Source organism: Homo sapiens, chromosome 17 (assembly GCF_000001405.40).
Source record: "Homo sapiens chromosome 17, GRCh38.p14 Primary Assembly".
Lineage (NCBI taxonomy): Eukaryota > Metazoa > Chordata > Mammalia > Primates > Hominidae > Homo > Homo sapiens.
In genome coordinates this window covers 4,630,682-4,642,992 of record NC_000017.11, presented here as the reverse complement: position 1 = coordinate 4,642,992, position 12,311 = coordinate 4,630,682, and the positions used below count along the sequence as shown (strand labels likewise).

Here is a 12,311-nt window from a genome sequence, read left to right as displayed (position 1 = left end):
GGGCCGGGCGCCGTGGCTCACACCTGTAATTCCAGCACTTTGGGAGACTGAGGTGGGTGGATCACAAGGTCAGGAGTTCAAGACCAGCGTGGCCAACATGGAGAAACCCCGTCTCTACTAAAAATACAAAAATTATCCAGGCATGGTGGCAGGCGCCTGTAATCCCAGCTACTCGGAAGGCTGAGGCAGAGAATTGCTTGAGCCCGGGAGGCAGAGGTTGCCGTGAGCCGAGATCGTGCCATTGCACTCCACCCTGCATTCCAGGGTGACAGAGTGAGACTCTATATCTCAAAAAAAAAAAAAAAAGGAAAGCTAATTCACTCTGGTGGGGTGGTGGGGGGTGAAAGTACCGGGTAAGACTTTCCTGAGAAACCGGAGGTGAACTAGGGTTTAGAAGCATGAATAGATGAATAGACTAATCCAGGAGCAAGTTCTTTTGAGAGAACAGCAGGTGGGGTTCTGGGGAACACATGGCTCCAGCCCAAAAAGAAACTGGAGACGAATTAGGGTTTAGAAGCATGACCAGACTAACCCAGAAGTGAGTTCTTTGAGAGAACAGCAGGGGCGGCGGGGGGAGGGGGGGTTCCGGGGAACACATGGCTCCAGCACAGGAGATGCCAGGGTGCAGTGGGATGAGAGGTGAGGAGAGCAGGTCAGGTTAGCAAGGGCATTGAATGCCAGAAACATTTGGACTTTTATTCTGCAGGCAACAGGGAGGCAGCGGCTTTTATGCTCAAAAGGAATGAGTCCCAGTGGCTGGCACAGAGAAGGCAAGTGTGCAAAGCTGGTCGAATGAATTCCGTGGCCTGAATGTACCTTCCTCAAATGCCACTGCAAACTGGGTCTCCTCGCCCACTTCACCCTCTCCTGCAATCCAACTTGTGAGGCTTGTGTGTGCGCGCGCGTGTCCTTGCGTGTGTGTGTGTGTGCACGCGTGCGTTTAGATGGAGGTTGGCTTCCCAGCCACCCAGGCTTGGCCCAAAGTCCGTGGTACACACGTGCATAACTCCTACCCCCACCTCGCCTGCCTGCTGTACCAGGCGTTGATTCCCTCTTCCTGCGTGTTTTCGGTCCAAATCCTTTTCTTTTTCTCCCTCCCGTCAAGATAGTGGTTTCCACTCCCTGCTCTCGCCAGGACACCGCCTTTTGGACTGGGGCTGAATTCTGCCCCTTGAAGCTCTGCTCCTTGGAGCTGGGGGCCCCAGCGGTAGGCGGAGTTGATTGGAGACCTGCCACCCACATTCCGACCCCAAGCGACCTCCGAGAGGGCGGGGTCTCAGGCTGGGTTATTTAGCTCGTCCACCCTTCTCCACCAGAAGGAGCGAAACATCTTTGAGCAAGATGGGTCTCTACCGCATCCGCGTGTCCACTGGGGCCTCGCTCTATGCCGGTTCCAACAACCAGGTGCAGCTGTGGCTGGTCGGCCAGCACGGGGAGGCGGCGCTCGGGAAGCGACTGTGGCCCGCACGGGGCAAGGTGAGCTCCCCAGAGCCGGGCGGGGTGGGCTGCGCCCCTGGCTCCGAGTCAGTCAAATACCGGGGAGGACATGCGCCCCCGTTGGCCTCTGGCCGATTCTCTTTGCCAAGGGCCCGCGCATTGGGCTCAAAGCGCGCGGAGGCCACGGGGGTGGGGGGCTTTAGGGCAGTCGGTGGCACACAGTAAGCGCTCAATAAATGTTGCCGCTACCCGATCTCCTTGGAATTGAGGGCATGCTCCTGTGCGCCCCTCATTGCACAAAGCTCCCTTGTCTGGAAACTCAGCAGTCACTGGAGCCGCCGTCGGTCCTCTCGCTTTCTCTATTTTAAAAACCGTTTCAACCGCTAGCGCTGTTGGATCTCTACCTTTCAGGCTTTATCACCTGGGGTGGAGTGGGTGGTGAGAGGGAAGGGATGGGGAGTCAAGACAGGAGAACGCTCTCGATTTCCCGACCCACCTCCCGTCATATCTCATGTCACATCTACCGGGTGTTCTACCCGGTCCTGTTAACTTTTTTTCTTCCGCGAAAGCCCAAATTCCCATCACTGCTCTAGCTCTCTCCCAGATCCCCAAATCCGGATGTCTGTCTCAGGGAACGTCAAAGCAACATGCCCGGATGAGGTCCTCCCCTCTCCCCACCTCCCAGCCCTCTCCTCCTGCCTCCCCCGGTGTCACCCGCGCCTCCTTCCTCTCTTCACCTCCCTCTAAACAAGAATCCGGCGCAGTCAGTTCTAGACCCTGAGCATCTCCCGCGTCCCTGCCCAATATCCGTCCCGCCCCCGACCGCCCGCGTCCTCTTGAACCTGCGGAGCCCTGCTCCCCGCACTCCACGCCCTTGCTCCGAGCTTCCGAGAAAGCGGGGCAAAGGGAGCCAGGAAGAGAGAAAATGCGCACGGAGCAGGTGGCCCCGCGACTCCATGGTGAGGGGACGGGGCACGGAAGGTGGAAAGGCGCGCTCCCTCCTCCCTTTTTTCCTCCCTATGGTGGGCAGTTGGTGACACACAGTAAAGGCTCAATAAATGTTCCCGCTACTCGATCTCCTTGGAATTAAGGGGATGCTCCTGAGCGCCCCTCATTCCACACAGCTCTGGTGCCTGGAAACTGCGGTCGCCGGAGCGGTCGTCGGTCCTCCCGGTTTCTCTATTTTAAAAGCCATTTCAAACCTCCAGCGGCCTCGCCACCTCTGCTGCAGACCTTCCAAGCCCTTCTGAAGCCGGAATGATTTCTCCCTAATTCACTCCCCCTGCTTAACACATTCGAACGGCTCCCGCTTGTTCTCGGGACCAAATCCAAAGCCCCTGGCGCCACCTTCGAGAGCCTCCGGACCTGCTGACCCCCCACACCTGGGCTCTGAGCTCCAGCTCCAAGATGCTGCTCGCCCTCCCTTCCCCGCCGCTCTCTTTCTGCGCGCCTTTCCCCTGCCTTCCCTTTCTGTCACTCTCCCTGGCTGAGCCCTCTCCGCCTCCAGGTCTCCGGGAAGGTTGTCCCCAGGCCGGTGGGGCCCCTGCAGGTCCTCAGCCTCGGGCGGGGTGGGGTGGGGGGTCGCACAGCGGGAATTGCCACCAGCGCGTCCGGGCTCCACAGCGCGCTCGTCCAGGGCGCGGCAGCGCTCAGCCCAGCGCTTGGCACAGTCAGTGACCACAGGGAGGAGAAAGTGAAGGCAGGAGCGCACCTTCCCACCTGCCGTCCCCGTCCCCTCAGAACCGAGTCCTGGGGCCACCTGCTCGGCGCGGTCCCTCTCTCTCTGGCTCAGTCCCCGCACCCCGATACGTCTCCTCCTCTCAGAGGCTCCGAGGAAGGGCGTGGGCGCTGGAGGGAGCAGGGCTCAGCCGGGTGCCCCTCCCGCCAGGCCCCACCGGGGCTGAGCCTCTTCTGTCGCCCGCAGGAGACAGAACTCAAGGTGGAAGTACCGGAGTATCTGGGGCCGCTGCTGTTTGTGAAACTGCGCAAACGGCACCTCCTTAAGGACGACGCCTGGTTCTGCAACTGGATCTCTGTGCAGGGCCCCGGAGCCGGGGACGAGGTCAGGTTCCCTTGTTACCGCTGGGTGGAGGGCAACGGCGTCCTGAGCCTGCCTGAAGGCACCGGTAAGCGCGGGGCTGAGGGTGTCAGGAGGCCTCTGGGCTGTGTGAGAAGCTGGGGGGATGCGCGTGTGGAGAAGAGGGCGCAGGATGGGGGTGCTGGAACCTGGAGCGCCGGGGTCTTTGGGGGTGTCGAAGGGGCGGTGGCTGCAGCTGGCACAAAGTGGCTGGAGCCTGGGGGAGGGGCGTGATGCTGAAGGGGCAGAGGCCACACAGAAGGACGGGGTGCTGAGGCTCTCCTGGCAGAGACAAGAAGAGGCGCTCACCAAAAGTCACTGGCCAAGTCCTCCTCTGTCCTTCTAGGCCGCACTGTGGGCGAGGACCCTCAGGGCCTGTTCCAGAAACACCGGGAAGAAGAGCTGGAAGAGAGAAGGAAGTTGTACCGGTGAGCCCTCCTCCCCTGACCCCACGTGAGCTGCTGATGCTTCCAGCACCCATACTTGATTTCCTTCCTGCCCCACAGGTGGGGAAACTGGAAGGACGGGTTAATTCTGAATATGGCTGGGGCCAAACTATATGACCTCCCTGTGGATGAGCGATTTCTGGAAGACAAGAGAGTTGACTTTGAGGTTTCGCTGGCCAAGGGGTGAGAGCAAGGGGAGGCTGGGTGAGAGGGAGGTGTCCTGGTCTAGTGGAAGCCAAGGGGCTTATGGGCTGCACTGCATTGGACTGGCCCAGGATCGGTGCCTGTGGTCGTCATGTTAGAGCCTCAGAATGATGCTCAAACCCTTTGCCCCATCCTGCCCTGAAGGCTGGCCGACCTCGCTATCAAAGACTCTCTAAATGTTCTGACTTGCTGGAAGGATCTAGATGACTTCAACCGGATTTTCTGGTGTGGTCAGAGCAAGCTGGCTGGTCAGTCCCCCACCCCAGTATGTCTCCCAACCCCCCAGATCCCACCCAGATCCCACCCAACCCAGGGGAATTGAAAGAAGCAGGGTGGGGAGACCAGAGACTTGGGTCCCTCTGGTGGGCTGGAGTCAAGGAGGCATGGTTGGTGGGGTTGGAAGGACCAAGAGCTCAGATCCCACAACTTGCTCAACAACTGCCTTCCCCAGAGCGCGTGCGGGACTCCTGGAAGGAAGATGCCTTATTTGGGTACCAGTTTCTTAATGGCGCCAACCCCGTGGTGCTGAGGCGCTCTGCTCACCTTCCTGCTCGCCTAGTGTTCCCTCCAGGCATGGAGGAACTGCAGGCCCAGCTGGAGAAGGAGCTGGAGGTATGGACATCAGAGCCCTGAGGAAGCTCAGCAGTGAAGTGGGGTGGCCTAGTGCCAATGATGCTGCTGCGGGACCCACTGTGGGCCTGGCTTGCTGCCAGCCAGCAAGGACGGATTCTGCAGGAGAGGTCCTGAGGGACCCTGGAGAAGCTCAGCTGCTCGGCCTCCTTCCTACACGAGAGTAGCTGCGGAGGGAGGGCGTGCAAGATGGAATGGTTGATAGAAACAAGGTCAAATGAAGAAATGTGACTGGCCCCTGGTGCTAGGGATTCGGGGAGTGTGCAGAGTAAGAGAGTCAGGATCAGAGTGCTGTGGCTGTTCATCAGGAGGCGATATGGAACAACAGAGAGGAAATTCATGGGATTAAGGGCAGATAGGCTTGGATGTGAATCCTGGTTCTGCTATTTGTAAGCTGTGTGACCTCAGGCAAAATACCCAACCTCTCTGATTATCTGTTTCCTCTTCTGTAAAATTGAGGCTCATTCAACTAGGTATAAAAATTATAAGGCTGAGCACAGTGACTCACACCTGTAATCCCAGCACTTTGGGAGGCTGCAGGAGGATCACCTGAGCCCAGGAGTTGGAGACCAGCCTAGGCAACGTGGTGAAACCCTGTCTCTACAAAAGTACAAAAATTATCACCTGTAATCTTTGGTGTAGTGGCATGCACCTGTAGTCCCAGCTACTTGGGAGGCTGAGGTGGGAGGATCACCTGGGCCCAAGGAAGTCAAGGCTGCAGTGAGCCGTGGTGATCCTGCCACGCACTCCAGCCTGGGCAGCACGGTAAGACCCTGATTAAAAAAAAAAATGATATGAGGAAGTAAGCACATGATCCATTACCTGGTATAAAGTAGATGATGGAGACGAGTTAGCTCCACTCTCTTCCCCCTTGGAGGAATCCGAGTAGGAAGAAGATGCTTTATGTTGATAGCAGCCCTTGACCTCTTCCCCCACCCAGGGAGGCACACTGTTCGAAGCTGACTTCTCCCTGCTGGATGGGATCAAGGCCAACGTCATTCTCTGTAGCCAGCAGCACCTGGCTGCCCCTCTAGTCATGCTGAAATTGCAGCCTGATGGGAAACTCTTGCCCATGGTCATCCAGGTGAGAGGACTCAGGATTTCTGCTCCCAGTCTCTGGCTTTTGAGAAAGCTCAGCCCCTTATCAAAATTTACTGAGCACCATCTGCAAAGGCACTGGGCTAAGGCACCTGGGAGACGCGAAAGGAGGAAATGCGCCAAGTCTCTATTCGAAGGCCTTGCAGTGTAGCTGGAGAGACAGACTGGGCCAGTCTGCAGAAGCTCCAGGACTGAGGAAGTCCCTGAGGACAGAGACAGCCCAGGAGGGATTGGGGAGGTGGGGTGTCACGAGCTTTGGAGGAGGGCCAGGTCTCAGACAAGCAGGAGGGAGAGGAAGGACCGGTCCTCAGGGGCAAGACAGACTGGGCAGAGGCTGAGGTAGAGGAGTCAGGCAATTCCTAGGGGACAGTTGGACCAGAAGCCAGACTAAGCCAGGCTAAGGAGTATGAGGTGGGAAGCTGGAGAAGGCCGTGATGAAACGTGCTGTGGGCACGCGGTGTGGGCAGTGGTGTTTAGGGTGGGTTGGAGAGGGGAGATGCTAGAAATAGGGACTGGGGCAACATGCCCCAGCACTGACCCCAGGAGGAGGGGAGCTCGGATGTGGGTAGTGACCATCAGGATGGAGAGGACAGGTGGATGCGAGTGCAGAGGGAGATCAAGGAGAGGGGAAAGGGGAGCCAGGCCAGTTGCCTGCAGAAATAGCACCGATAAAGAGAACAGGGTGCCCAGGTGGATTTTTGTCTGGCCAATGTTGAGGTAACGGGAAGACACTTAAATTATCCAGCAGGCAGCTGAGAACAAGAGATTCAGTCATTTGTGTAGAGGTGGGGCCAAAAGATGAGTTTTCAAAAAACAGTGTGGGATGGAGGAAGCAGGTGGTTTGAATCTTGTCCACACTGTGGGAACTGAAAGGGGAAGTGGAGGCTGGAGGAGGCACCAGAAGAGCAGTTTCTGCAGAATGCTGGAGGCAAAGCAGCTTGCAGGGTGCTAATGCACTGAGCGGGCAGGAAGGGGAGGGGAGGAAACGGGAGCCGTAGGGAGCGGCAGGAGTGAGATGGGGAAAGCAGAACAGGTTTGGAGGACGAAGGGTGAGGTTAACATGCAAGGGGGGCGGGAATCGCTGAGTGCCTGGCACTCATGCCTTCTCTCCCCACACTTGTCCCTGCTCCAGCTCCAGCTGCCCCGCACAGGATCCCCACCACCTCCCCTTTTCTTGCCTACGGATCCCCCAATGGCCTGGCTTCTGGCCAAATGCTGGGTGCGCAGCTCTGACTTCCAGCTCCATGAGCTGCAGTCTCATCTTCTGAGGGGACACTTGATGGCTGAGGTCATTGTTGTGGCCACCATGAGGTGCCTGCCGTCGATACATCCTATCTTCAAGGTAACTCCTTATCCCCTTCTCTCTTGCCTGCCACTATCTCTGCCCCAGGGCACGTTCCGACCTCTGGAGGCTCCCTCTCTGTGGGGTCTCGGGGTACAGAGAGAAACAATGAATGGACAATGTGAGAGCAACAGAGAATGAGCAGGGCTGGCCATGCATTTTCAAAGGGGATAGCACCTCCCACCTGGGAAAGTGGCGAAAATAATCTTACTCTTTTTATATGTAAAGCACAGTACATGCAAATGACCAAGGATTCCATCCAACAAGAGGAACCCGTGAAATAACGTTAAAAAGATCTTTTCCAGACATTGATTTTTTTTTTTTTTTTGAGATGGAGTCTCCCTTTGCCCAGACTGGAGTGCAGTGATGCGATCTCGGCTCACTGCAACCTCTGCCTCCTGGGTTTAAGCAATTCTCCCACTTCAGCCTCCCCAGTAGCTGGGATTACAGTCGCGCACCACCAGGCCTGGCTAATTTTTTTTGTATTTTTAATAGAGACAGGATTTCACCATGTTGGCCAGGCTGGTCTCGAATGCCTGACCTCAGATGATCTGCTTGTCTAGGTCTCCCAAAGTGCTGGGATTACAGGCGTGAGTCACTGTGCCTGGTCCAAGTTTGTCTTCTTTAAAGAACTGAAAGAAGCCTAGTGTAATGGATGAAGGAGAGAGGGAGGAGACCAGGCTCTGGAGGGAGGCAGTGGTTAGAACATCCATTCTCAGTGGGGGCACAATGTCCCCCAAGGGATGAAGATGGTTGGAAAATGTGTGTGAAAAATATTATTATTATTATTATTATTATTGCTGCCCAGGCTGGAGTGCAGTGTCACGATCTTGGCTCACTGCAACCTCTGCCTCCTGGGTTCAAGCAATTCTCCTGCTTCAGCCTCCCGAGTAGCTGGGATTCAGGTGCCTGCCACCATGCCTGGCTAATTTTTGTATTTTTAGTAGAGATGAGGTTTTGCCATGTTGGTCAGGCTGGTCTGAAACTCCTGACCTCAGGTGATCCGCCCACCTCGGCCTCCCAAAGTGTTGGGATTACAGGCGTGAGCCACCGTGGCCGGCCAAATCTTATTACTTTATATAGCACAGATATAATGTGATATATATCTATATAAAGCACAGATATAATGCAATACATAGACAGATATACAGTATATATGTAGCATTAATATTTAATGAGGTGGAGTGAGATTAGGAAAAAACATCTCAAAAGGGTACTTAGTGGGTGATTAAAAAAAAAAAAGTTGAGAAATCTTGGTCTAGACCTATGAAAAAATATGAAAAGAAAAGGAGGCCAGGCACGGTGGTTCACGCCTGTAATCCCAGCTACTCGGGAGGCTGAGGCAGGAGAATCGCGTGAACCCAGAAGACGGAGGTTGCAGTGAGCCGAGATCACACCACTGTACTTCAGCCTGGGAAACAGAGCAAGACTCCATCTCAAAACAAAACAACAACAACAAAGAATGATTTCTTTCAATTATCATAAAGCACTAAGTCTGGTTTGTGGAATGGAAATAGTTGATGCAAATCAACTGAAAGCTCAGTGGTTTTATTTTTATGTATTTATTTTTAACTTTAATTTTAGGTTCAAGGATACATGGGCAGGTTTGTTCTGTAAGTAAATTGTGTGTCATGGGGCTTGGTGTACAGATTATTTTGTCACCAGGTAATAAGCATGGTACCCCATAGGTAGTTTTTGGATCCCCTCACTCCTTCCACCCTCTGTCCACAAGTAGATGCTGGTGTCTGTTGTTCCCTTATTTGTGTCCATGTGTACTCAATGTTTAGCTCTCACTTATAAGTAAGAACATACCATATTTGGCTTTCTGTTCCAGTGTTAGTGCACTTAGGATTATGGCCTCCAGCTCCATCCATGTTGCTGCAGAGAACATGATCTTGTTCTTCTTCATGGCTGCATAGTATTCCACAGCATATGTCTACCACATTTTCTTTACCTGGTCTATTGTTGATGGGCATTTAGGTTGATTCCATATCTTTGCTATTGTGAGTAGTGCTGGATGAACATCCGTGAGCATGTGTGTTTATAGTAAGGCGATTTATATTTTGGGAGGTATATATCCAGTAATGGGATTGCTGGGTTGAATGGTACTTCTGAAAACTCACTGTTGAGAGGCCACTGAACTTTACGTCTGTGCTTTTTCTGAAGACCTGGTGCCTTTCCTGCTGTCAGCCCTTGTTTCCTGCAGGGATCTTGCAGCTCTCCTCTGACTCTGCCCTTCCCTGTGTTTCTCCCTCTAGCTTATAATTCCCCACCTGCGATACACCCTGGAAATTAACGTCCGGGCCAGGACTGGGCTGGTCTCTGACATGGGAATTTTCGACCAGGTATGGGAAGAGAAAGGGAGATTCTGGGTCTGTCTTTTTTCCAGCTCTGGATTCAGGGCAGGTCGATTCGCCTGACCCTGCTCACCCTCACTTCTCAGATAATGAGCACTGGTGGGGGAGGCCACGTGCAGCTGCTCAAGCAAGCTGGAGCCTTCCTAACCTACAGCTCCTTCTGTCCCCCTGATGACTTGGCCGACCGGGGGCTCCTGGGAGTGAAGTCTTCCTTCTATGCCCAAGATGCGCTGCGGCTCTGGGAAATCATCTATCGGTGAGGCAAGCGGGAAGGCCAGTGGGGGTGCAAGTGGGGGTGGAGAAGACATGTAGGAGAGCAGGAGGTCTGCGTCTGGTTGGGGGCCTGGGGCCCTGACCTGGCCATGTGAGCAGGGGCAGAGCTGGCTTCAGCTCCCTGGCCCTGCTCCGTTGGTTGGTAGGTATGTGGAAGGAATCGTGAGTCTCCACTATAAGACAGACGTGGCTGTGAAAGACGACCCAGAGCTGCAGACCTGGTGTCGAGAGATCACTGAAATCGGGCTGCAAGGGGCCCAGGACCGAGGTAAGAGGAGCCCCTGCCCTGAGATCTCAGACACAAAGCCCAAGAGATCTTCCCAGAATCCCCTGTGCTTCTGTGAAATCTCCCAGAAGCATTTTCAACACCTATGAGAACTCCAGAGGCCTTCTCAGATTCCACTCCCTGTCACCTAGAGACAGGTCCCCGTCCTACACACTGAGAACCTCTAGGTGCCAGATGCAGCGGGACCAGTGGCTGCTCATAAATGTTTAACAACTGACTCTCGGGAAGAACCGTCCTGATTTGTAGCTTTTGCACATTTCCATGGTATAAATATTTTTACTGTGACTACCAAGGTGATGCTGACCAGCTTGCTAAACACCTAACGTCATGGACTGACTCTTGCGAGCCAGTGTGAGTCAGCAGCAGCACCCCACTGAGTGGGACCCTCCCGGCAGAGCTCCCCACTCCCCCACCCCAACCTGCTGTCATGGTAATTCCTGTAAGAGTTAACTGAGCATTCCTGCCGCTCTTTCTCGCCCTTGTTCTCCTCTCTTGGCCTCTTCCTCTGAGCGCTGCCCTACTCCTGCCTTCGCAGCTTCTAACTCTCTTCACCCCTTGCAGGGTTTCCTGTCTCTTTACAGGCTCGGGACCAGGTTTGCCACTTTGTCACCATGTGTATCTTCACCTGCACCGGCCAACACGCCTCTGTGCACCTGGGCCAGGTACTTACCAGAGATGGGCAGCTGGGAATTTGGGGCCTGGAGTGAGGGAGGGGTCTGTGTGCAGGTGGACCACGGGGCTCGCGTGCTTGGTAGGCACTGACTCTGGATCCCTGCCCTTCCTTAGCTGGACTGGTACTCTTGGGTGCCTAATGCACCCTGCACGATGCGGCTGCCCCCGCCAACCACCAAGGATGCAACGCTGGAGACAGTGATGGCGACACTGCCCAACTTCCACCAGGCTTCTCTCCAGATGTCCATCACTTGGCAGCTGGGCAGACGCCAGCCCGTTATGGTGAGAGCTGAGTGCCCAGGGCCCTAAGGAAGGAGGCAGCTGTGGGGACGTGTGGCATCCCAGACTGGGGGTCATAAGGCTCTCAGCCACCTTTTCCTCTCCCTCCCAGGTGGCTGTGGGCCAGCATGAGGAGGAGTATTTTTCGGGCCCTGAGCCTAAGGCTGTGCTGAAGAAGTTCAGGGAGGAGCTGGCTGCCCTGGATAAGGAAATTGAGATCCGGAATGCAAAGCTGGACATGCCCTACGAGTACCTGCGGCCCAGCGTGGTGGAAAACAGTGTGGCCATCTAAGCGTCGCCACCCTTTGGTTATTTCAGCCCCCATCACCCAAGCCACAAGCTGACCCCTTCGTGGTTATAGCCCTGCCCTCCCAAGTCCCACCCTCTTCCCATGTCCCACCCTCCCTAGAGGGGCACCTTTTCATGGTCTCTGCACCCAGTGAACACATTTTACTCTAGAGGCATCACCTGGGACCTTACTCCTCTTTCCTTCCTTCCTCCTTTCCTATCTTCCTTCCTCTCTCTCTTCCTCTTTCTTCATTCAGATCTATATGGCAAATAGCCACAATTATATAAATCATTTCAAGACTAGAATAGGGGGATATAATACATATTACTCCACACCTTTTATGAATCAAATATGATTTTTTTGTTGTTGTTAAGACAGAGTCTCACTTTGACACCCAGGCTGGAGTGCAGTGGTGCCATCACCACGGCTCACTGCAGCCTCAGCGTCCTGGGCTCAAATGATCCTCCCACCTCAGCCTCCTGAGTAGCTGGGACTACAGGCTCATGCCATCATGCCCAGCTAATATTTTTTTATTTTCGTGGAGACGGGGCCTCACTATGTTGCCTAGGCTGGAAATAGGATTTTGAACCCAAATTGAGTTTAACAATAATAAAAAGTTGTTTTACGCTAAAGATGGAAAAGAACTAGGACTGAACTATTTTAAATAAAATATTGGCAAAAGAATATAGAGCATCAAAAAATTTTTCTGGGTTCATATGCTTGATGTGGTAAAGAATTAAAAATTTTTTATTTTTATTGAGACAGAATCTTGCTCTTGCTGCCCAGGCTGGAGTGCAATGGCGCGATCTTGGCTCGCTGCAACCTTCGCCTCCCAGGTTCAAACAATTCTCCTGCCTCAGCCGCCCAAGTAGCTGGGATTACAGGCGCCTGCCACCACGCCCAACTAATATTTTGTATTTT

General features: G+C 54.3%; 1 protein-coding gene across 1 annotated transcript, besides 3 other annotated features; it reads left to right on the top strand.

Annotated features, from left to right (window-relative positions):
• The first annotated feature begins 1,314 nt into the window (after positions 1–1,314).
• Positions 1,315–12,074, top strand: ALOX15 (arachidonate 15-lipoxygenase). The gene is made up of 14 exons (NM_001140.5): positions 1,315–1,476; positions 3,362–3,563; positions 3,861–3,942; positions 4,021–4,143; positions 4,309–4,412; positions 4,616–4,776; positions 5,735–5,878; positions 7,025–7,234; positions 9,493–9,579; positions 9,678–9,847; positions 10,011–10,132; positions 10,712–10,812; positions 10,937–11,104; positions 11,214–12,074. The coding sequence occupies exons 1-14, from the start codon at positions 1,342–1,344 to the stop codon at positions 11,391–11,393; spliced, it is 1,989 nt and encodes a 662-aa protein (NP_001131.3). The 5' UTR covers positions 1,315–1,341; the 3' UTR covers positions 11,394–12,074.
• Positions 3,872–5,071: an enhancer, noted in NCBI's record as "BRD4-independent group 4 enhancer chr17:4541217-4542416 (GRCh37/hg19 assembly coordinates)". NCBI's record gives its function as "activates an origin of replication core promoter dependent on BRD2, P300/CBP, MED14 and CDK7 cofactors, and independent of BRD4, by STARR-seq in HCT116 cells {active_cell/tissue: HCT116}" and the evidence as "EXISTENCE:reporter gene assay evidence [ECO:0000049][PMID:35650434]".
• Positions 10,490–11,017: an enhancer, noted in NCBI's record as "H3K27ac-H3K4me1 hESC enhancer chr17:4535271-4535798 (GRCh37/hg19 assembly coordinates)". NCBI's record gives its function as "activates a minimal SCP1, AML or CMV promoter by ChIP-STARR-seq in naive H9 embryonic stem cells {active_cell/tissue: H9 hESC(naive)}" and the evidence as "EXISTENCE:reporter gene assay evidence [ECO:0000049][PMID:30033119]".
• Positions 11,018–11,547: an enhancer, noted in NCBI's record as "H3K27ac-H3K4me1 hESC enhancer chr17:4534741-4535270 (GRCh37/hg19 assembly coordinates)". NCBI's record gives its function as "activates a minimal SCP1, AML or CMV promoter by ChIP-STARR-seq in naive H9 embryonic stem cells {active_cell/tissue: H9 hESC(naive)}" and the evidence as "EXISTENCE:reporter gene assay evidence [ECO:0000049][PMID:30033119]".
• Positions 12,075–12,311: the final 237 nt, after the last annotated feature.